This window comes from Homo sapiens, chromosome 12 (assembly GCF_000001405.40).
Source record: "Homo sapiens chromosome 12, GRCh38.p14 Primary Assembly".
In the NCBI taxonomy this organism is placed as follows: Eukaryota; Metazoa; Chordata; class Mammalia; order Primates; family Hominidae; genus Homo; species Homo sapiens.
Window position 1 is genome coordinate 97544859 of NC_000012.12, and position 25959 is coordinate 97570817.

The following is a 25959-nucleotide window of genomic DNA, read 5'->3' on the forward strand; positions in this document are numbered from 1 at the left end:
CTAATATGATAGAATATCAATTTCTGCCCCCACTAACAGAATAAGATGATTCATGCAAAATGCTTAGCAGTACTAAGTACAGGGTAAAAAATTCCAATAAATGACATCTATTAATAGGCATCTATTATTTGTAAACATATTCAATACGTTGGAAGAGAACTAAAGAGAATCATTTTTCACAAGACCTTTTGGATGTGCCCATGGTTTTTCCCATTCTGGGTCAGAGCAACAAAATCACATTTACATTATATTACACTCTTGCACTTCAGGCTCTCTCTAGTCAATTTCCTCATATTTTTCCTTTCATATACTGCATTATGAAGGCAACTGGTACTCAACTAGCAACAATCATCATCACCATCATCATCACCATGATAACTATATCTCCCCAAAATAGTACCAACATTTATGGAGTAGTTTATAATGCACCTTTACATATGTTTTCTTCTTTCCACAGTCCGCAGTGGTTGACATTGCGAGTATAGAGGGAACATCATGGAGCTGGTGAGGGACAGATCTAAGATTAAGAGTCTGACTCTTAGATGTCCTTCACAATGATAAATAAGAGATTTGTGGGATTATTAATGCTGTGGATAATTTTGAATACACCCTGCAGACATGTCCCACCCTCAGAGAACAATTTTTTTAAAACTAATCAGTCATTGAGCTTGACCTTAAGGAATGTGAATATTCTCTCCTGTATCTCTTCTTCTATCACCTTCAGTTAGCATCTTTGGAAAGCACTCTCAGTTTTTGGCTTCCAGTTACTCCCAAGCTTTTCTAGCAAGTAGAAATGCAAACAGATAATTAGGGGATAGGGCTAGGGATATTTGCGTTTTCATTAGGACTATAAAATTTCAAGGGCAGAAATATGGCAGGTTATGGGATTGGATGAGGAAAAAATCCTAGGGATGAGCAAGTTCTAGTCTTATTTCTAACACTGCAGGTTACCTATGACTCCACGTAAATATGTCTAACAGCTTTAGAATGGAAGAAGAGATGGATAGGGCACACTTTTTACAAATTACTTGTGTCACTGGATGGGATGAGAAATGGGAATATGCCAGTTTCTTATGTAAACAACAGTTCATCAAGTGACATAAACACTTCAGATAACAGGAAGGATTTACCTGCTGGTGCAATTTTGAGTGTTTAGTCACCATTGGCACAAAAAGAAAGTAGGAACTGTTAAGAGGATGACTTAAGTAGAGCTGAAGGAGATACGCCTCAATCATTATTACCATCAACTATTGTTATTTTTTTATGGTATATCCTAAATTTGGTAATTTGGTTGTCATTATCCTTGAAGGGCTTTTATCTGAGGTGCATTGCTATTTTTGAGGACTTTTAATTTTTCCCTGTCACTGACAATATTTGAAAAATACTGCTTTTTTATGGAGAGATCTAATCTTTCACATCTATGTTTTAAATCAAGGAAATGGGCTGGGTGTGGTGGCTTACACCTGTAATTCCAACACTTTGGGAGGCCAAAGTGGGTGGATCACTTGAGGTCAGGAGTTTGAGACCAGCCTGGCCAACATGGTGAAACCCCATCTCTACTAAAGATACAAAAATTAGCCAGGCATGGTAGCACACACTTCTAATCCCAGCTACTTGGGAGGCTGAGGCAGGAGAACTGCTTGAACCTGGAAGGTGGAGGTTGCAGTGAACCGAGATCTCACCACTGCACTCCAGCCTGGGTGACAGAACAAGACTCCATCTTGTAAGAAAATAATAATAAAAAAATCAAGGAAATGTTGATGCCAAAGTAAATTTTGTGACTATTTTATGGTAGTGGAAGGTGAAAAAAAATTCTTAATTGACAAATTAAGATTGTATATATTTATCATGTACAATATGATGTTCTGAAATATGTGTCTATACATGGGGAGTGGTTCAAGGAAGCTAATTAACATATACATTATCTCACATACTTATCTTTTTTGTATGTGATGAGAACACTTAAAATCTACTCTTAGTGATTTTTCAGGCATACAATTAACTATAGTCACCATATTGTACAGTAGGTCTCTTGGACTAATTCCTTCTGTCTAACTGAAATTTTGTATCCTTTGCCCAACATCTCTCCAACCTCTCACCCTCTCCAGCTCCTGGTAACCACCATTTTTCTCTATCTTTCTATGAGTTAAACTTTTGTAGATTCCACATATAAGTGAGATCACACAGTGTTTGTCTTTCTGTGCCTGGCTTATTTCACTTATTTCATTTCACATGAAATAGCCAGGCATAGAAAGATTGAACTGGAGGTCAACTGGAGGATGACCTCCAGTTCAATCTATGTTGCTGCAAATGACAGGACTTTATTCTTTTTTAATCACTAAATAATAATAATAATATAATAAAAATATGTATATATAACATCTACACTATGTATGCGTATCACATTTTCTTTATCCATCCATCTGTTGATGAACACTTAGGCTGATTCTTCATCTTGGCTGTTGTGAATAATGCTACAATGAACATGGGAATGCAGATATCTCTTTGACTCTTTGACATATGAATTTTATTTCCTTTGGACAAATACCCAGTAGTGGGATTGCTGGATTATATTACAGTTTTATGTTTAATATTTTGAGGAATCTTCATACTGTTTTCCATAATGGCTATACTAATATACATTCTAACCAATGGTGTGAGAGGACTCCCCTTTCTACACATCCAAAACAACCCTTGTTGTCTTTTGTCTTTCTGATAATAGCCACTATAACAAGTTGAGGTGATATCTGATTATAGTTTTAATTTGCATTTGTCTGGCAATTAGTGATGTTGAGCCTCTTTTCATATACCTGTTGGCCATTCGTCTGTCTTCTTTTGAGAAATGTCTATTCAGGTGCTTTGCTCAATTTTAAATCAGATTATTTGTTTTCTTGCTACTGAGTTGTTTGAGTTCTTTATATATTTTGGATATTAGCCCCTTATCACATGTATAGTTTGCAAATACTTTCTGCCATTCTGTAGGTTTTCTCTTCATTTTGTTGATTATTTCCTTTGCTGTGCACAAGCTTTTTAGTTTGATGTATTCTCATTTGTCTATTTTTGCTCTTGTTGCCTGTGCCTTGGGGTCACATTTTAAAAAAATTTATTACCTACACCAATGTCATGGAGCTTTTCCCTTATGTTCTAATCTAGTAGTTCTACATTTTCTGTTCTTACATTTAAGTCTTTAACCTATTTTGAATTGATTTTTGTATATAGTTTGAAATAAGAGCCTACTTTCATTCTTCTCCATGTGAATGTTCAGTTTCCTTGACATTTCTTAAAGAGACTGTTCTTTTCTCATTATGTAGTCCTGACACCTCTGTCAAAAATAAATTGACCATAAATGGGTGGGTTTATTTCTGGTCACTCTATTCTATTCCATTGGTCTATGCATTTGTTTTTATGCTAGACCTGTGCGGTTTTGATTACTATAGCTTTGTAGTATATTTTGAAGTCAAGTAGTGTGATGCTTCCAGCCTTGTTCTTTTTGCTTAAGATTGCTTTGGCTATTCACAGTCTTTTGTGGTTCCATACAAATTTTAGGATTTTTTTCTGTTTCTGTAAAAATGCCATTGGAATTTTGATAGGGATTGCTTTGAATCTGTAGATCATGAATATTTTAACAATATTAATTCTTTCAATCCATGAACATGGGCTATTTTAATTTCATTCATCAATGTCTTATAGTTTTCAGTGTGTAGGTTTTTCACCTCCTTGGTTAAATTTATTCCTGAGTATTTTATTTATAGTTATTATAAATGGGATTTTTAAAAATTTCTTTTTCAGATAGTTTATTATTAGTTTATAGAAGTACTGCTAATTTTTATATGGTAACTTTGTATTCTGCAGATTTACTGAATTTGTTTATTAGCTATAACAGGTTTTTTTGTAAAATCTTTAGGGTTTTCTATAAATAAGATCATGTCTGTAAACAGGGACAATTTAACTTCTTCCTTCCAATTTGGATGCAGAAAACATATTTTGATCACATAAAAAAACAAATGGAGAAAAGTCTAGCAATTGAATTTTTAAAATAAATAATGGAGATTGACTTGAAAAGGTTTATTTTCATTTTATCCCTTGCAATAGATATTTTTTCAAGCTCTAACATACACTAAGATCTGACAGCAGAAACTTTTGAAAGAATGATTTGAGAACATCAACAAAACAAAAAGATCTGAGAGTTTGCAGGAAGTCTGGCCTTAGTATTTCCTACTACGCACCCTGGGTGGTTTTGAACTCTGAGAGAGACTATGAAACATATATATCTGCACATCATTAGCATTCAAACGAGGTTCCATAAGAAGTTGAAATCTCCTTAAGGGAACATTGGTAGAACTTCAAGTCCTTTATAGTTTTCAGAAAAGAGTATGTTTTATCGTACCAAATCACTGGCAGAGAGTTAAGAATATACATTTTGTATAAATATGTATTCACTTAATTCATCAAACAGAATCTTTTCTTTTATAGCCAAAAGAGCCATTCTCAGAGAGCATATGGGCAATCAAAATATTCTCAAAGCCTGAAAGCCAAAAGTAGCTTTTGGTTTATTTACTGGGGTATGTCTTTCTAAACATTCTTTTTAAAATTAGCCCGAAAGGGCAATAAATTAGGCCTCTCTTAGGCCTGAGTGAATAAGAAAGATGAGGATTAAAGGACATTCAGCAAGGATGCCATTCACATGGTGTCTGTCTCAAGGGGTAGACCCAATGTGGTAAGTTTAAACAGGAAAAAGTAAACATAGAACCATTACTCTGTTCATGCAGAGCAGTCAAAACTTTCTCAGCAACATGCTTTTCACAAACTCAATGAGGCAGCACGGTTGTCAAGAAAATATATCCCTGAAGGTTTTTCTGTCTTAGTTTTTCCCCTGTTCCAATGTCTTTACTATCTGTCAGCAGAGTCTGAGATACTGATGAGAAATCATAAACATTAAAGAAATAGATGGGTCAATTTTGATAGAAATGGAACTGTTGACATATAAGCAGGTGTTCATTAATGAAGGGTAGGTTCAAGACCAGTGCTCCACAGAAAGAGAACAAAGTGAAATAACCCAAGTTTGATTTTCAAATACCTATAGAATTCGGTATTTTGTAATAAATGTTTTATTTCCCGTTTTATATGCCAAGAGGCCACAACATACAATGTTTGTTAAGTAATTAGTATCAATCAAAAGTTTAAAGTTAAAAACAAGTGGAGAATATCAAATGGTATCATTGGTGAAGCACCCTTTCTCAGTGTTCTAAATATTGTATTGACAGCCGTTAAAAATAAATATATAGCACTTTGGGAGGCCAAGGCAGTCAGATCACCTGAGGTCGGGAGTTCGAGACCAGGCTGACCAACATGGAGAAACCCCATCTCTACTAAAAATACAAAAATTAGCTGGGTGTGATAGCACATGCCTGTAGTCCCAGCTACTTGGGAGACTGAGGCAGGAGAATCACTTGAACCTGGGAGGCGGAGGTTGCGGTGAGCCAAGATCATGCCATCGCACTCCAGCTTGGCCAACAAGACTGAAACTCTGTCTCAAATAAATAAATAAATAAATGAATAATAAAAATATTAAAAGGACTGAAATAATGTCCATAGTGTCCAGATATAGGAATATTGTATTTCAACAATCCAACATGAACTTGCTGAGGGAATTCACCTGTGTCAGGTAATTTAAGATGTAGTTAGCAAATTCTCACTTTCCTGGAATCACATAAAATATTCATAGATTCCTGTCAGTAATTGCAAAGTTAAATTTAAATTCCCATTCCTGGCTCCATAAGATAAAATATTTCTGTAGGATCTCTATTTTCTCGACTTTATTATTCTTAGTGCAATTGGAACTATTTTGCAATCCCGTGCCACTATGCATCTAGAACATAGCATCATATTTTGTGGCATCTCTCCTTCATAATTGTCTTTGGAGCCATATATTCATGCACATACATGCAAAATGCAAAAGGGAAAGTATTTGGCTTTTCTGGAATTGCAAATTTATAGAGTCTTTATAATGTCATTGATCCATTCATCCAGGTGAATAGAGCACTGACTCTGTTCCAGGTAGCTTACATATATAACCTCTAATTGTCGCAACTCAGAAAAGTGGACAACATTATCACTATTTCGTAGAAGAGAACACTTAACTAATTGTGTCAAATCAACTTTTCTGAAATTACTCAGATTGGACCTTTAAATAAGGCTGACTCCAAAGACCATATTCTTTCTACAACACCACAATATGCTCTCTTGCTATCTTGAGAGGCTCTACCAATTTAAATAGAAAAAGCATTAATGGCATTCATGGTTCATTGTTTTTAAAAAAAAAAAAAAAAAAAGACCAAGTTCTGTTTCATTTTCCACTAAACCTCCTTAGTCCTCTTGGTAATTGAATAACCAAGCCCTGCCTTTTGTGTGCCATCAATGGGCAATATAGAAAGGTAGATAAAGGAGAAAAAATAAAAATAAAAAAGAATATTCCATCTGTCTACCTGGTAGTGGCTCATAGGAGAAGCAAAAGGGAAATACTTATTTGCCTGCTAATTATTTTTCTGTTTAAAGGAGGAAAGGAATGGCATGAGGTGAAGGATAAATAGAGAATATTGATGTGGTAATAATGATCAAAACAGAACAAAGAAGAGTTGATGTGGGAGTTATTTCTCCATTGCTCTGGCCATTCCACTCTTCGCTGAATAAGTGTATTCTGTTTGGCTTTCAAGCTAGGGTTGTCATGCGAGAAGTGTACGTTAATTTCATATTTTCTCATAACTTTCTTTTGGGGATAAGCCTTTTGGTTTCTGCTGTTTATTATTTCAAAGGCATCTATATGCTAATATGTTTTATGCTTATTATTTTCATGTTTGTCCCTTAGGTTATGCTTCATATCACCCACGAGGGAGGATCATATCTCATAAAAACTTTCAAATTTGATTTTGAAAATTATTCAGAAAAATTTAAGCCATGCTATCTCCCCACATAGGAACGACTATGCTCTGGAGAGTCCTGTAATTTGCAGAAAATGGACCAAGATAACATTTGAGTTCCATGCTACCAAAATCCTCTTGAGAAGGACAGCTAGCTACCCAGAATATTTAACATTGTGACATTGAAATGTTGGATGAACGATTAAAATGAAGAATCTAGTCATAGGTTGTAAGAAATCGCTAAATTATTATGTTTAATCCAAAGAAGAGAAAGGAAAAGCTGTTTTCATTCCCCCCAGCCTCTGAGGTGTGTTACCTGCTTCGATTGCTGTAAATATTGTATTTTAATTGTATGTTATCCTTCCTTTGCATCATTTCTAGAAAGTTAATTTTAATGATACTAATGACTGAAGCTGAGTTTGTGCATAGAGGAAGAATCAGATAAAATAGAAATCTCATATAATAAGCCAGCTTGATGTTTTCTTCCAGAACTTTTATTACAGAAATTTTTAAATAAAGTCGTAATCTATTTTGAAAGCAGGTTGGTATTTAAAAAGTGAAATAAAATTAGCCAATTAACCTGACATAAAATATTTCTTCAGGCATTGTCTTTTAAAGAAATCAAGGCTTAAAAATGGATTCCTTGACATGAATTCCTAGGATTCCTAGTTTACCTTGGAGGGCATTTATCATTTCTCCCTTGATTGGGAATTGGACTCCTTTAGTTCCAAAGCCCTTCAGGGGTACAAATAAAGGGCATCATTTCACCCTCTACTGTGTCATTCCCTGCCCTGCTCTGTTCTTAAGCAAGGAGTCAGCAACACTGAGGAATTTGCACTCCAGGTTTAAGTTTGTTTTGTGTACCAGCCTCCTCTTTACTCATTCCTCTACCTTTCAGTAGCTGCACCTAAATCCCTTTCTATTTTGTTGTTGTTGTTGCTGTTAAATGCTTTCACTTTTAGACCACAGCAGTGACTTTATTCTGTAAGAAATGCAACCCAGCTACTTGTATTTCTCCTCTTGGTTCATTTTAGTGCCTCTCGAGTTACAAGACAGCTTTGTTAGTAGAAGAGTTTGCTTTCAGAATTGGAAGAAAGGTCTCCTCAAAGGAGTCCTGACAAGCAAACTAGGCTCTCCTCCAGACAGAAGGGGGTAAGAGTGAGCCTACAAAAGGCAGGTGAAGACAGGTACCTGGACAACATGTGCTAGGTCAGCCTACCAGCATTTCAACACTTATGGTCATCATCTCTCTGTAAATAAGAACTATTGCTGGGGATACATTTTGTGAATTTGTTAGGATAAATGATTGGTAAAATGTTATTTTACCAGTTGAAACATGACTGTATTTGGCACATTTTGTTAAAATAAAAGACCTATAATGGTTTATGTGCTAAACCCTGTGACCCATCTTTTTTTTATTTTTATTCTAATTATTTGCCTGTGATAATAACAAAATAGCGATACATTTTACCTTTTAAAGTTGTGTTTGGAGAATAATTCATTGAACTAACACATTTGGCTTAATTGCAGCCCCAGCTGAGAAGAAATGGCCTTTTCTTGCTCATCTCAGAACATAATTCAAAGATAATTCAAATAGAAAAGAAATTTATGCACAGTTAGCCTCCAGAATTTGTGTGGTGCTGTTGAGCTGTGCAACCTGATTAAGCAGCCTGCTAGGAGTGTGCTACTCTCTTTTTGAACTAAGTTCCATGAGGGCAGGAAAGATGTCTATCAACAACTCTTAGCTCATAGCTCTAGAAGGTGGTTGCAGGTTGTGGGCTTTTAGCAGGTGTGTTGTGGTCATGCCTCAGTCTAAATGAGCAGTGAACTTTGGCTTAACTCAACTTCAGAAATGCTGTGTGATCTTCAACAGTTGACACTCCTGGTCCTGTAATGCCCCTGGAGCATGATGAATAGTTTGAAGCTTTGAAATAATGTAGACTCAAATCAAATAAGCCTGGGTTTGAGTCCCAGCATCAATACCTACTAGTTTTCTGACCAAGTCCAATCTCTTCTAAGCCTCTCTAAGCCTCATTCCCAGCATGAGTAATATTTAATTGAAAAAAAAATCAAGTTTACTTAAGTTGACTGCAAGGACTAAATGAGATGATATATTTGCATAGTATACACACATAGTAAATGCTCAACTAATGGTGATTTTTCTTTTCTTTCTCTTTTTTTTTTTTTTTTTTTTTCTGAGATGCAGTCTTGCTCTGTCACCCAGGCTGGAGTGCAGTGGCATGATCTTAGTTCACTGCAACCTCCGCCTCCCGGGTTCAAGCGATTCTCCTGCCTCAGCCTCCCGATTAGCTGGGATTACAGGCATGTGCCATTACACCCAGCTAATTTTGTATTTTGAGTAGAGACAGGGTTTTGCCATGTTGGTCATGCTGGTCTTGAACTCCCGACCTCAGGTGATCCATCTGCCTCAGCCTCCCAAAGTGCTGGGATTACAGGCACGAGCTACCGCGCCCAGCCAATGGTGACTATTTCTATTATCATTATGACTTTTAATAGTAATAATACTTCTGGGATTGTTATTATTATCATTATTAATCGTATTAATGATTATGCAGAAGGTCCAAAATTTTTCCCTATGGATAATTTAAGTAGTAGAAATCAAAAGATGCACGCATCAGATACTTTTCTGCCAATAAAACAGGGCCTACAAAAATAAACGTGGACAATTTCAAGTTTTCAATGTGATTCACTGGAGACTTGTATATCATCACAAAGTTTCAGTAAACACTTTTAATTTAAAAAAAAAAGTCTTAAGGTAACCCAAAAGGTGAAAATTTTGAAGATTCACAAAATGTTATTACTCATATCTAACCAATATCAATTATTCAGGTGAGATAGAAATAAAAAGTCAATTAAAAGCTAGATATTTCTACCCTCGTTGCCAAGAATCTAGGTGTCTAGCTAATGATCTTGCTCTTTCCCTTTTTTGGGGTACTTGATATTATGAAATGTTTTGTTATTGGCTGCTTATATTGCTGGTAGTAGTGATTATGGAATACAATTTAAAATTATTAAATATTGTGAGGAATGGAATTGATCAGAATGAAGGCTTTCCATAAGAAAATACCTTGCTAGTTGAAAAGCTCCAGTGAGCTTCCAGGACATCTTCATGGGGCTGGCATGTGATATGAAAGCAGGCAGCTGGGTCTCAGGGCCATTGAAAAGTTATGGTCTTGCTGCTAAACAAGAGAAGAGTAAATAGGCTTGTATTTGTCTCTACAGCATATGGCATTGCACAGAAAGAAAAGTCAGATGTTAATTAAACCTTTGCAGGGTTGGAATGGGTCATCCCATTCTGTACTAAAAAGTCAGCTTTGACCTTTAATTGCATGTCCCCCCCAAAAGACCTGTAAACATATTTGCTAAAAGGTTCTTATTGCATCCAAGACTCCTTTCAAGTAAAAAGAAAAATATTTTTTCTTTGTATTTGGAAGAGCTCTAATGACAATACAGCCTTTATTGAAATAATATCTTGACTGTATATTGATACCTTTCATTTAATGTTTACCTTTTCCTGTGGATTTCCTTCTTTCACAAAGCCTTTCCTCCATGGAAATGCCGACAGTAAATTAACATCCATGCTTTGGTGTATTTTATGGTGTTTCATTTTAAATATTCACACTTGGATTAAAATCCAACATCATCTACGTTTCATGTGTTTAGCATATAGTAGAGGCTAAATAAATAGCAGTTAAAAGAAAGTAATCTCACTAGAATTATAGCCACAATTTCCTAGATTTCATTTCCATTCTGTCAGCCCTCCGTGAAGTTGGTATAATTTCCCTTCAAATGGGCGAGATTCGGAATTGTTCACAGTCACAAGTGAGAGAACAAAATAAGAGAGATTTTCATTTATAAGATTGCCTTTCTCTTATCTATTGGTCTTGCCTCCCAGACTGTCTGTCTGTCTCTGGAAAGCAAAGTCAATAAAAATGATTAGAGTTGACATCTCACAAATGTACACCCTTAAACCATGAAGCAGTAATGCTGTGCAGGAAATATTTTTCTGACCTTTTCAAATTGCATCCAACTGTCTCGGGAATTTCTCAGTGACTAGAGATAATAAGGTTCAATCAATTTTACCGGCTGGCTTCAAATTTAGTTCCTCTGAAGCTCTAACTTATCTATTCTTTGCATCTTCGTCCCAGCATCCATTCGGCACAGAAACCCATGCATCTAATCTTTCTTCCCCCTTCTCAGGTTCTTGCTAAAGGATCACACTGTGGAATCTACAACCATGACAACTTTCCACTTACTGCTCCCTTGAAAAACAAAATATTAGCACAAGAAGATTAGTGGACATGTTGTCTTTGAGAAGCCCTGGTTGAACTTAATTAGCTTTTAAATTTCATCCCATCTTACATCTCAGTTTTTACCTATGTGATTTATGCCTCAGTAATCTTCATTCTGTAAAACTTTTTCAACTTAACCAAACCATGGGCATTCTCTCGAATATTAAAGCGGCAAAAATACGTGAATTTCTTTTATGTTAAATTAATTTTGCTTTTTCTTCTGTGAGTCCAAATGCAGCAGACATACTCCCCTAGAAAGGAAGGGAGTCAGCCAAGTGTGACGTGTTAAAAGGCAGCTGGGCGGCCTCTTCACCGTGTTCCCTGAAGGAGAACAGAAAACAGAAGCTGGGGACACATTTCTTAACCTCATGAAAGTGTTGGATGTCAGGAAGCCTTGACAAGAAATTAAAAAGCTTGTCTTACTTTTTATATTTAGAGCATCTCCATGTTGACTGTGATTCTGGGGAGATATCAGTGTTTCCTCATTTGTAGGACACACCAAATTCAATAGCATTCTCTGCTGTGTTGTTCCCATCCATTGCCTCTGTACTGACTTCTGCAGAGGAGATTAGAATCTTGGCTGGAATTTCCTGTGGTCAGTGGAGCTTGGAGCCTCTTTCTGGCTTGGAAGGCATGTTCATGGGCAAACAGCCACCAGGAGGAAAAAGTCTTTTTGAAGTTACCCTTTTAAGAGTCTGCATTTTCTTGTACACTAATTATCAAGTTTGATCGTCATAAGATACTTGACTTTATAAAAATGAGATTATTTCAGACAACCCTATTTAGAAAATAGACTTGGGAAAAAGGAGGTGAAAAGCAGACATTTTAATATTTACAACACTGTATTTTTTTTTCCTGAAGAAACTGTATATTCATGCCAAAGTTCATCTTCATAATATGGCTTGTCTTTTTCACTTAAAACAAGGTGCTTAACGTTTTTGGTCAAAGTTAAAATAGAATACACCAAGTTATGTTTAAAAATAAGCTGCTATTTCATCATTTGAAATTTTATCTGTCTTGATAATAGAATCACAGTCCTGATGTTCTTTTATGACTTGGGTGTTGTTAGATGGCATTTTGTTTAGGAAAGATGGAGTATTTTGGCAGTTTTGCAAATCAGATTTACTTGATATTTGCAATGCAACTTAATGTTTTTATCACTAGTCAAGGAAGAGTGAAGACTTTCAGGTGCAGTAATTAAAGCTGTCTGTTTCTTGAGTGGAGTTGCAGTACACCTGAGAGGTTGTTAATTCAGCTGTGTGTATGTCTGCATGTATGTGTGCAGCCATGTGTGAGGTGTGCATACTCACTTAAAATCGGGATTGGAAGGCAACAACTCTGAAAACAAATAGAGTCTATTTTCTCCCTGTGGATGCCACCTCTTAATAAATTGGAGACTTAGCTATACCTATGAAACCCTTTCAGAACACAGAATGGCTTAGCTGATTGCTCTAATTATTACACGTTTAGTGCCTCCTCTTTCCCATTTCTGAGATATATCGTCTTTGCTTCAGAACCTGGAGGTAAAACAAAGTCCATGTTTAGACTTCCCATTGCAAGCATAAAGTGATTTGAATCTGGTAGAAGAACACAGTGAAGTGATGCTGGGGGTCACTTTGTACTGGGGTTGTTTTGCTTTGCTGGGTGTGCTTAGAGTTTGGAAGATGGCTGTGGAATGAATCAGGTAGAGAGGCACAAAGGGAATAGGTCACCTAATTAACAGTGCCAATAATAATAATGGCTGATTCTTACTGGACAACTACTACTTACCGGATGTATCACAGATAACTCATACAACCTCACTTAATCTTTACAGGAGCCCAATAAGACAGGCACAACTATCTTCGACTTATAGGGAGAAAAAGTGAAGCTTAGAGAGGGAGATTGTATAAAAAAATGATTTTTACATGGAAAGGAATGAAACAATCTATTCGTTGCAATCGTTGGTGTTTTTATTTTTCCTCCTCTACCTTTTCCTTCTCCTTTCTACCCTCTTCCTTCATCACCTCCTCCTCGTTCTTCTTACTTAGCTTCTCCTTCTCTTTATTTTTCTTTTCTCAAACACAGAATGAAATGTGGCCAGGTTGTTAAAGCACTGTCCCATTGGGTCTTGGTCAACAAGTACAGCTTGTTCTCCTTCGTCATGGAGTTGCTCTTAGTAGAGCTACTTATTTAATTATTTTGGAAGTTTGATAAGGGCTAAGAGTTCTGGCCGATGGCTTATTTATCATCACATACTTTTCATTAACTTAAAAGACGAACACAGGTGGCAGAGTATGGTGATTATATGCTGTCCCTCATAAGCTCACATTCAAATCTGCCTTCTATCTTTTGTCTGTGTTAATGATTGTTCAGGGTTAAAAGGCAGAAAGAATGAATTGAGGATAGCAGATGTCCAAAGATATTTTTGTGAGTAACTCAGTAAAACCTGTTTCTATAAAAAGAATGTGTTACTGTATCAGGATATCTAGGAAATTAAATTTTTTTCAAATATACAGCTGAGTTTTTTTTTCTTCTATTTCCCTCACACATCAGTATTACAAACATAAATTCCTGATTGCTAGAGCAGGCTTGTTTTTGTGATGTTAGCTCAATGGAGATATTGATGCCCTGGGATTCAATTTCACTCTTATAGTGATGCCTAATATACTTCAATTTGTGTCTCAGGGAAGGGGCTTGGTTATTTATTCTGGGTAAACTGGGCTTTTTGTGTTGCCACAGCATCACTTAGACTCCTGATACTGAGGCCAGCAACCTGATGGGGCCTCATTTGTTCCCAGGCGTAACAGAAGGAAAGAAAATGGATTCAAATCTAAGCAGAGTAGTAGAATCTCAAAAGCTCTGTCACCAACACTCACTGCAAATATACTCTTCCTAGAGGGAATGTTCTGAAAATTTGGTCTGCATCTCACTTGTGATAAATATCCCCTTTAAAAAAATTCACACAGAACGACACAAGAAAGGCAGCATGGTTTTAGATGCAAATATGATTTCGAGGTTTCTCTCTCTCTCTCTCTCTCTCTCTCTCTCTGATATACATTGGGTCTGGGGTCTTTTGAATATGCATGTGATCTCAGTTTAGGGTTCATGAATGACTTTGTGTTTTGCATAAGGCCCTTTTGATTTCCACTCCTACTGTTATCGGAAATAAACTCAAAATTGTATAAACAAACAGAGTAAATTGTTCTGAAACTATCTGCCACGCAGAGTTCATCTTCAACACTTTGCTTTCTATTATTGCCAAAGGAAGGGAAATGACAGCATTGGCTTTAAATCTGTAAATTTAGTAGTGGGGCACCAGCCTGTGCTTCTGTGATGTACTGGTAATCTCCACTTACTGTCAGAGCTGCAGCAGTATTTATTTTTCCTTAATTGGAACCCCACTGATATCCTGTGGGATTCCCCCCACCCCTCCCCTTGGCAAGGCAATATATCCATATAGACCTAGATCATAAACGCCATGGTCTATTGTAATATTATAGTCAGGAATATCAACACTGGGATCAAAATTAAACCAACGTCCAGTTTCTAGACTGCCTTTAGATATTATTAGGAACTCAGGATTTTTCTCAGTGTTTATCTTTGAAGTTACAGAAATGTCTGCAGAAGCTCAAATTGAATATGCTTTATCACAGTGTTTCCTCTTCTGTTTTAATTCTTCATTTCATTGCTTCTAGAAGTGTGGGGATGACTGATTACATTGCAAACTATTACGCATAATGAACAAGTAAACAACAAACACGAGTGGTATGGGCACTCTATATAGAAATGTTATTTTAAAAATACCTTCATCCTTTCTAGGTGAACAAATATAATAAGATGCCTGGAAAGCCTTAATTTTATTAAAGTTAAATTCATTAAAATTAAGTAAATCCTTTTTATCTTAACTTTTGGTGTCAAAACAGGATTTGTTACCTTGGACATCAGAGAGCCACTTCGTTGTCTTTATTTATGGTTTCAGCATTTGCTTTTCCCATGTGCTATTTTCATTTTTGTCATTGAAGTTCATGAAGACTTAATAATTATCCCTCTAATTTTCCAGAAAAAAAAGTTGATTTATTGAACTGACTGCAGAAAAAGAAGAAGAAGAAGAAGATCAATCTGACATTGTAGGTTAATAGTAGGGAACAAAACACGTTCATAATTAGAAGAGAAAAGGACTTTCCTTGTTCATTCCAGTTTATAATAAAAAGCCCCTCGCTAAAGTGTCTTAGAAAATAATGCATTCAGACTGAGTCGAATTACCGCCTAGCAGATTCTATTTATCTGTAGCTTAAAAAGCAGCTGCGTTTTTGTAAAAAGCAATGAATGTGGCAGTCCTACTTAAAGGTAGAAGAAAAAGAACACCCCTTGTTTTGTAATAAGGGGATTTTCAATTTAAAAGAGAGAGCAAGACTGTTGTGTGAAGTAGGGTTATTACATTCACTGTATTCTATCTCACCCACCAGGAGGCTAATAATGAAGGGGCCGGGAAGGAGGCCAGTGCTACCAGGGTTATCTCACAACCTCAGATGCTGGATAAGTCGACGGAGGCAGAATCGCTTTGGGATGACATTCAGAAAGCCTGGAGTGATTACTTGCAAGAGAAAAGCCTACCTATTCTTTCCAAGGTAAACAGTTCATTTCATCTGTCAGTGGCATGTTTCAGTATACAAATATGTTTATATAAAGATATCTATAAAGTTTTCCTTTTAAAAAATCATTTTAGGTGCAGGAATATTCCCCTGACCTGCTCATCCAGTGGTCCAGTAATGAATTACTGGAGACCTGCCTTAGACAAAGAATGCACTCGGAGCCCCAACACACCTAAAGCCATGCTTTGAAGGATCTGCCAAGCTCACTTTTAATCATGAGAAAGAAATTACCCACACGGAGTCAGCAGAAAATGAGAAAGTAGAGCTCGTGCTGTGAATAATTCCAGCAAGTGCCAAGGGGCTAGTTGAGGAATGGCTTCATGAGGTGAATATCTTTAGCTTGTACTTAGGGTTTGGTTAGCGTATAATCATTTTCTCTTTTAGGAGCAATGACTATCATACATGTATTTCCTAACTAAAGAGTGCTCAGAGCATTTGTCAGGTTGTTGACAGATTTAATATCAGTCTTGCCCATGTTGTTATTTACTATGACTAATTTTACGTTTGTAAATATGCAAAAATCAATTTAGGCGGAAAGGCTCTCCTCCGAGCCAATGACTGCTACTAGCTGTATGCATTTGTGTGTATTGCTGTGAGTGCATGTCCAGTAGTTTATGTCTCTGTGTCTGTATGTGCCCTTGTTCTGTCTTCTCTCTGTTGTGAACGCAGGTTGGGAGAATTAGCCAACCATTGGGTTCTCAGATGTGGTCCCAGGCTTTCATTTGATTTTTGGAACGGGAAAAAAAGAACGTGTCACATCATGATTAATGGTGAATCTGAATTTTCAATTCACATGAAAGGAGGAAGGGGAGGGGATATGAGTCAAGTGACAAGACTAACCTTTTCCCTTTGGGACGAGCATGATTCAAATTAAACATCACTTTCAGTGTGAAATTAGTTTGAAGGCTTTTTTTTTTTTTTTTTTTTTTTTTTTTTGTGCCTGGTTTAACTCCTTGGTGGCTGCTCATTCAGAGAGGATTGCTTCCATCCCAGCTCCGTGCCCAGGTCTACTCCCAGTAGCCCACAGTTCCTCCTCCTTTGTTTTTCTAAAGATCAGGTCCAGGAAATGAATATTTTACCATTTCAAAAGCTTCACTCCTCACAAGATAAGATTCTCCCTGAAATGTGTGTCCCAAACTAATGTTTTAATACATTAAATCAATCAATCTGTTAATCAATAATAACATTCTTCTTTTTTTAAAGATAATTTTGCCAGGGAGGAGGGAGAAAGGAAGCAAGGGATCCTTTTGAAAGGCATTTTGAGTGCCCTCCGCTTGGTGCCAGTTTTTGCTGGCTGAGTGCGCCACAGAGGAAGAACAGCAACAAAACTCCCAAGTTCTCTCCTGAGTCTCTAGTTTCCCACATAACAGTCACAGGATTGCCATGCCAACCTTCAGCAATGTTGGCTTTCAGCAAGCATGTGCCTCGACACTTTAAAACTGCCCTTCAGTACTGATCCAAAGGATGCAGGTCCAAACTTGTAGAAAGAACCCGCTACCTGAGCAAATGCAAGGCTGCCTTCCCATGTATCCACATTCTTGATGCTACCATTTAAGCATCAGCAGATTTGATATGTGATTGACTCTGTTTCTGGAGTTTGGTGGCTGGTGGAGAAAGGGAAAGTGTTGAGCTGGCTAAGAAACAGTGTTATTCTTCTAGTGTATTTTCAAAGGGAAAATGGTAGGGCTCTTGAACCCCTTCCCTAATGGAAGGAGAGATGTGGTAGAGGAGCGGTGGGGGTTGGGAGGGTAGCTGGTGGGGAGAGCTGAGCCAGCTGGGGGAGGAGGTAGAGGTGGAGTCTGGGAGGTAGAAGGTGGAGGCAGATGAGCAGCTGTGTTTATTTTAAAACATATCATTTAACCCTCACCTAAAAACAAATTGGAGAGGTTTGGGAGTGCATTAATCTGGACCCAATTAGCATGTCTTTCTCCTTCAAAAGTGCAACCTGAGATTAATGAATATAAACTAGAGTTTCAGATGCAGTGCTTAAATCATTTGCATGTTTTCTGCATGATAATTGAATTTATGTATGCACTTCCTTTCGTTTAACTATTTCCAGTCTCTTCCCTGTGATTCACATAAACCAAGATGTCATGGTAGTCACCTCTAGATGGAAATAGCTTGCCTAGCCTTTACTCCTAAGGAGGAACTCAAGTTCTTGTTTCTTTTATTTGAATTTGAATAATGCATTTTTAAAAAATAAAGCAGAGGGCAGTGCTTAATAGTCTGGAATGCTGTTTCGGGAGTTGGTAGATAGGCACCTCAAGTTTATTTTTTAAAGTCCAGATAAAACCATTGGGATTTATGGTATTGAGTTTTCAGTGGTACAGAGAATTGGGTTTCAGCATGGCCACTTATAAGTGTTTTAATAATACCAAGAGCAATGTCACTTTAATGCAGCATGAAGAATGTTCTTGGTCTTTGGACCTGAGTTATTTAGATCACTGAGAGATTTCAGTGCATAGTATTGTTTCTGGCATCGTTCTCGCTTTTGTAGATGGGGTTGGGGATGCATCTCTATAAAAGGCTGTAGGTGAGCAGTTAGCACATAGTATGCTATACTTTTTTATTTCCTTTTTGTTATTTAGGTGTAGAGAAAGCTTAACGCTTACATAGTCAAACAGGTACTAAGATCCCGACTCCCCACCTGACCCAAAATGAAAAGTCTAAAAGCCAGCATGGGTATGTAAGAAAGCTTTCTGGGGAAAAGTTGGAGCAAGAGGCTTGAAATAATTCCTCTGGTTTCAGTTTGCATCAGTGATTTGTCTGTCTTCTGTCTTTCCGTATGTGTTTCCAAGTTCAATGTCAAAGTGATGAGCATTTCTCCAGGAATTCTTCCCAGTGTCCTTTGTTTTTGGTGAATTCAATGGCTGAATGTTGCTGAGTGTCTCTTGGTCTTGTTTCCCGGTCCTTGTAGCTAAGAATGTCGTGGAAGGATAAAATCTTGTTAATTCGTGATGTCACAATTCAAGTGTGCTTCCTGTCACTTATGTGTAGTTTAAAATGTTCTTTAATGTAGCGTGAAATGATTGGTTAGCTTTGAAATGGTTGTGAAGTCATGTGAAGAAAATAAGTTTTGCATCCGACCAAGATAAATTCACTCTAGTGCTTTATGGCTTTTTATTCCTATGTGATAGTAATAAAGTCTCATGTAGGGATGGAAGCCATGAAATACATTGTGAAAAATCATCAACTAAGAAGGGGCCATCAGTATAGAGAACGTTAGCCTGTGGAGCTGTGAATGTGATGGAGACAAGATTTAGTGTATAGCTCTGCTACCTGCCTGGTGTTCCTTTGAGTTTCTTTATCCTTAGATTTGACAGCTGAGAAATCTAGGTGGATTCATATTCGTAATCATTGATTAACATGCACATTTGGGTTTGCACATTTTTGTTTATCATACATTTTTCTCCGTTTTCTATTAAAGAACATGCTCTAGGGGAACTATTAATAGCCCACCAGTCGGGTAGGCAGCATTCAATCCTTCTATGCCTTCTTTCGCCACCTGTTGAGGTCTTTCTTCTGAAACAAAGAAGAAATAGACAAATCAGACTTGCCCTCTTGGAAATGTGGTCCAGATTTCTCTACTCCCAAGCTCCAAAAAAGGTATACATTGGATGGGCTAGATCAACTCCTCCTGAGAGCCATAAATCCGCCAAGAGTTGTTTTCCATGTAAGGGTGTGGTACAATGGGGAACACCTGATGTTGGAGGAAAGCAGGAGGACTTTAGAGTGGAGTTGCATTCTAATCTCTCTGCCGCTTCAACTATGTGACCTGGGGCAAATGATATAAACTCTATGAGCCTCTTTCCTTATCTTTAAAATGAAGAGAAGTAATACCTACCTTGTAGGGCTGTTGTGAGGATTAAATGAAGTAATGCATACAGTGCCTAACAAAGTATTTAACATCATATTTTTTAAAAGCTCATGAAATATTAGTTTTTCTTCCTTCCCCTCTTTCTATTTTCTCTCCTGTTCCCTTTTCTCTCCCTCCTCTGCCCTCTCCTTCCTTCAGATGTTAGTCTAAAACAGCACCTTGGATCTAAGCAGCACCTTTGAGAAAGAAAAGACTGCTTCAAGAATGTCTAGTTGCACCTCCTTTCCGTATGTGGCCTAAATGCCTAGGTTGGATCAATAGTTTAATTTTTTTATTGAACTGTTTAATATTGACTATGGACTTACATTCACTTTTACTGTTTTCTGTATATTTACTTTTGCTTGAAGTGTTTTAATATTGACTATTTACCTCTGCTCATTTTTATTGATTTTCTGTATTTTTTCAATGAAAATTATAATAAAAATTATTTTTGTTATCTTTTGTCTATTTCCTTTACACAATGGGATTTTAGCCTGTGTCTAGGCTGCTCCAGTTAGACAAATGATGCTTTTTTCTTAAGAACCACCCACTGTTAGTACCAAAAGAACTATATCCCCTCTCTACTCTCCACTCCCACATTTTGTTTGCATATCAATGTGTTTGGGGACATTTATCAATCTAGTTGTAACTGTGATGCCCATTTATGTTTTAAACATATAAACATTAGAATTTGACTTTATCACTAAAGCCTAGGAATAATTGTCAATAAAGGAAAGGACTTTGCAAGTAACAGAAACTTTTTTAAAATTATAGAATAATGTAAGTGTATTGCTATAAAAATAGAATGTAGTGAAAATCAGTGACACCACATTTGTATCCAGAGTTCTTTTATCATCATCAAATTTGTTCTTTAAAACTCGCACTTACCCCTGTAACCCCAGGTCCTAGAAATATCCCTGATAGTAGGGCATTAGTTATTTGTGAACAAATGAATGGGAAAAGAGGGGAGAAAGATGATGTGAGAGGGAGAGAGGAAGGGGGAGCCAGGAGGAGAATAAAGAAGCAAAAGGCCATATCATCGTAGGAAATATATTGTATATTTAGGAAAGCAGGGCAGACATGTGCATGCATGGGCGCGCGCACACACACACACGCACGCACGTGAAGGCCTACTGCAAGAATGAGGAGAGTTTAAGTTTGGAGTAGATATTACTACACCACTCAAGATAAAATGTAATATGAGTGGCATAGAAAAAATTACTATAGGGACCTCATGTAAAGAAAGTTTTCTAGAATCAGGGAAAGATTAATGTCAGGATATAGACAATCAAATTTCCATAGGCAAGAGTCAAGGATTGAAAATTAATGTGTCAAGGAATTCATGAAAAGCTTAAATGAGTGGTTCTTGGGAATTTTTCCAACACACAAAGTATTCTACCCTGGAGAATATATTTACTTCTAAATATCTTCACAAATACCATTTGAAGCAGATAGTAGGTTTTAATGGACACACTTACTTAGATTAATTAATTACTGCTGAGTCTCAGTGGGCTGCAATCAGCTATTACCCATATGGGATGAGATAAGTCTAAGCTTCCAGCATGCTGGTGATTTCAGGAATGGCCATGTATTTGCCTACTTTCCCCTTTCCTGTACTCTTGTGTGGTTCTATCTGAATTCCAATACTTGCTTCATCTCTGAGGCAACTTGTGCAAAAGTGATTGACTGTCTCCAAGAAGGGCTCAGCAGCTCCCAATAGCTCTGGATATTGACTCTGTCACCGGATTCTGACCTTTTAAAAAGTATTGGCTGGCAATAAATCTCACAGGGTATTCCTATGTAAAGTGCATATAAATATGTTGGTGAGTGGAGCAGAATGCTGCAATGAAAGGTGATCTCCCTCAGCAAGTGAATGAGTAAATCTCTCAATCTTGCCACTGGCCTTGGCACAAGCAGGAGACAAGCATGAGGAAAGAATGAGAGTGTAGCAAGATCACAGAGCCATCTTTCTCATGTTGCTTAACTCTATGCCCTCATCAGAAATTTCTCTTCATCAGAGGTCTCACCAACAACATTGTCTTAGTCATTGGAGGACAATATTCATGGGATCTGGGTTTGGGCAGCTTAAGAAAAAAACCATACATCATCCTACATATTCAAATCCCAAAATGGTGCTATGGAGTTGGTAGGCCTCCTAAGAAGGTGAAATAGAGAGTTTGGAAATCTTATCTCATTATTTGAGTGGTAACAGGCACACTGAACCCATCATTCAAATTGCAGAGCCTGATCTTTTTCATCACAATTTGGACCTCACCAAGTAGACATGTACACTGTGTTTCTCAGGTGCAAATGAGCTCATGCTGGCACACACCTTTCCTCTTGCCCACCTTTATCAGCAAAGTCACCCACATCTGCACGTGAGACATGACTGAGGAAGAAACAGAACCTGCAGCTTGGGATCAGGGTGGGGTCTACCAGGAGAGCAGAACCCAAAACCTCAGTGAACACCAAGTAATGTGACCCTCTTGGTCATGAGCCTCAGGTTTTCTGCTTCTAAACCAATTCCTGGAATCATATCTCTGCAGGGTAGCTACTCCAGAAAGGGTTTCCCCAGACCCGGTTTTTATAGATTAGACTATTCTTGGATTTGAAACACTGATGTCCAAAAGGTGGAGTGGGATGGGGTTTGAGGAAAATCTCTCTTGATTCTATTAGATGGCCCTTCTTACAACCTTCCATAAAAGAGACTCTGAAACATATGATAATTCAGAGATGGAAGTCAGTGATACCAGGCCTTTTTACCTTTTTCTTCACCTTTATTCCTTATCAAGAAGAATGCAAAATAAATCGGTTGGTTCAAGGTAATAAGGTTTGCCCTTATAGTTCATTGTTTCATTCCATTAACTTTTTTTCTCTTTCATCTGTTTAACTGGACATTAAAAAATCTTTTTTTAATGATAACAAACATTCTGAGAGTATGTTTTAGCAGGGAATACATAAGCAATCTTATTGGTAGTCCAAAATTAGGTTACACAATGAGGGCTCAATAAATGTTGATGACTTAATTGCTTGCTTAATTAAGCTCGAAGTTCTTATAGTGACCCCCAAGGCTCACATGGTCTGCATTCACCCCATGTTTCTGACCTCATCTCTTACCACTCTCCCCATTGCTGACTTTAGGGTATTTCATAAACACACCAAGTGTACTTCTACTTCAGAGCCTTTGAAATTGTTTCCTTGACCTAGAATACCCTTCCTGGATATTTACATGTCCACTAGCTCACTGACTCAAATCTCTGCTCCAAAATCTCTGATCAATGAGCCTTGCCCTGACTGTGACTATAAAATCACAAGTCTCCTCCTCTTCCAAACTCCTACCACCTTGCTTTTTTTCCATAGTACTTTTCGTCATCTGATATACTACATATTTACCTGTTTCTTTATTTGTTTATAGTCTTACCTCACTAGCTCTGGGGGAGCTGGAAGAGAAATCTTCCTCTTTATTTGCTACTTTGTCCCCAGAGCCTAGAATTATGTTTGCACATAGTAGAAATTCAAATATTTGTTAAAAGAAGTAATACATATATGGTACTTCCTGGCATTATTGTGTCAAGATACCACCATTATATGTCATGACAACAAAGAATCACTTACATTTCTCACCGAGTTCACCATGCTTCAACCATTATCTTCTTGTGAGACACATAGTTTTGCTTTTCTAGTTTTCCCTCTTATAAATAATGCAGAGATGGATCTTTCTTTGCCCATCAACTTTTATCTCTATTTTTCCTTAGAATAAATTCTTAGTAGTGAAGTTACCAATTTAGAAATTAATGAGCATTTTGTGGCTCTTTATAACTATCATCAAATTGTTTTCCAGGAATGTTGTACCAATCTACACTCCTAGCAGAAGTAAATGTCAGAAAATTTTTGTTTACCTTCTTTTCTTTATCAGTGTTATGCTGTTTCGCACAAAGTTAACGAGATTCCCTTGCTGTCTCCATTCCTTTTTTTTGTTCCCTCTGGGAGTGTCTGTCAAAATGTGCTGTTTCTATTTACTTTTTCAACTTTGATCTTAAATTTCTGGAATGAAAGCAATCATTTTAGAAATGGAAAGAAACCATAAATTATATATTTCAATCCCCCATTCCACATATGAGGAGATGGAGTTCACACTGCTGACTACTAACAAGGCCAGGAGTGAGAGACACAGGACTTTGGTGACTCACGTCAGCACCTGCAAATATTTGAAAACCATGAGTCACCAAATAGGAATCAAAGTACACCATGCTAACTCTTAAATACCAGTGTCTACCTGTTCCTTGTTAAAATTAAGGTCAAAATGTCCACAAGAGTATCTCTCGATGTTGAGAGATTAGCTCTGTTTGTGGTGTGTATGAAATAACTTTGAAGTTGCACTACCTGTTCTACTTACTATGTTAGCTTGTTCCAGAATCTTTTGTTTATCTAAGACTCTTGCACAATCTGGCTCCTTCATATTTGTCTTTTTTTTTTGTGAATTTCATAAAATTATAAGGTAACCAAGAAATGAGCAGCATTTGTTAAATTTCTTTGAATAAAAGTAAAACAATCAGATAGTTGGTATTCCTACTAAAGAGAAAGGCCTTGGGCTTTTACAGAGCGATCAACAAATCGTCATTTGGAGACTTTGTGGAAATGGCGATTCACACCAGCATGTACATTTGTATAAGCCTTTGGAGACATCCACATCTATCTTCACAGATAAGCACATATAGTCTCTCATTTATCTGTAGAGAAATATACATTAATGAAGAACTTAGAATTATATGTTGCCTTTCCTTTGAAATCTTCAAGACTAGTCCTATGGTTTTCTTCCACATTAAAAAAGCCTTAATAAGATGTTTTTCAGCTATGATGTTCTTACATTACTCATGAATTTAATTGTTAGAGGAATGCCATAGATCAAATGGTAGTTAATATCCATAGTAAAGAAGAACTGTTTATTCCCAGATTTTGAAGGATGAATCAGTTGAGAGTTTAAATAGGATACTGTGTTCTGATAAAAATTAGTAGTATATGAAAATATGTCTTAACTGGAGACTACTCTAAATGCAGGATGTCTGCAATTTCTATTTATGAAGAATACACTGTTATTTACAAATAGGCTTTAATGTCTCTAAAGAAAATGTAATAGCCTAGATAAAATAAACAGATGACTTAAGTTGACAGGAGAAATCCAAAAGGAATGATAATGAATAAATTTAACAGATGCTTACTATGGTTGTATGTGTAGATGTGTACATGTGAGCATACCCATTTGTTTCAGGAGCACAAATTTCTATTAAATTCAAGGACCAAGAGGCAGGAGGCTCGAAAGAAAACCAGGCTTTAAGCAAATACTGCACATGCTTTTGCAAATATTATTTTCATCTGAAATATATACCTCTTGGTTATGGCCCCCTCCTATCCAGATTATAGAAAATAATTTCAGTAAATATTTTTCTCAATTTCACCAAATTCAAGTTTTTAAAGCCAATGAGACCCCCCACCATCTGTCAGCAGTTGTAGCCTCTCAAATCTAGAAAACAACTTTGTCTTAAGATGTTTATGGCTTTCCTGCCTCTCACTCCATTTCTGCACTATCTTCCTCTGTGAGACACCTTGGAACTAAGAACACAATAATCCACTAATAGCCGTTTAGATACCCTGTCTTTTACATAAATTTTCTTGATTAATTCTCTCAACAATCTCACTAGGAAGTTATTGCCCCAATTTTTTTTTTCTTCCAGATTTGGAAAGTAAGGCTTTTAGAGATTACGATTGCCTGGGATGTTTTTCAAAATATTCTCATCATAACCTTGATGTCAGTCCTCAGACCCAGGACAGGACTCGTACTAGGTGTGCCAATTATCAAGATATTGTCTCTCAGCTCCAAACTTATCTTCTATGCTTTGCGTAAGGTGATATAGTCAGATCCCTTCACTCCTACTTCTCATCAGGGCTTTGAGGTCAAGCAGAGAGTGCCCACCACCCCTCCATACACATTCCCCTCTCCTGTCGCCTCTGATGATTGAGCCTGCCCAGTTGAGGGAAAGCTTGCAAGCCCTCTCAACCCGTCTGGTTCTCTCTGTCCATATTGCCAGCCTTTCCCCATATTCTTGGTAAAGGTCAGAATGATGCTAGAACAGATAGGGATAGCCCTCTGGGCAAAAGCCTCTGAGTACCTGCATAGTAGGTTTCCCGCCTCCCAAGAGGGAGCAAAGTGTCAAGGGTCCCTAGGTCTCTGTGGGGTGGAT

The 25959-nt window shown here is 37.2% G+C and overlaps 1 long non-coding RNA gene and 1 other non-coding gene across 48 annotated transcripts in view; both read left to right on the forward strand.

The window, feature by feature from the left end:
• RMST (rhabdomyosarcoma 2 associated transcript) overlaps positions 1-20177 on the forward strand; it is a 102232-nt gene extending 82055 nt beyond the window's left edge. For 25 of the 47 annotated variants that reach the window (NR_186054.1, NR_186102.1, NR_186098.1 and 22 more), the window contains 3 exons: positions 15679-15840; positions 15939-16189; positions 19292-20177. This is a non-coding gene — a long non-coding RNA (rhabdomyosarcoma 2 associated transcript). Of the gene's footprint in view, positions 1-6973; positions 7225-15678; positions 15841-15938; positions 16759-19291 lie in introns of those variants that run through there. The other 22 variants (NR_186073.1, NR_186103.1, NR_186057.1 and 19 more) reach the window with 6 other exon arrangements.
• On the forward strand, positions 18954-19053 carry MIR135A2 (microRNA 135a-2). The gene has a single exon (NR_029678.1). It is a non-coding gene; the product is annotated as a microRNA 135a-2 (primary transcript).
• Positions 20178-25959: the final 5782 nt, after the last annotated feature.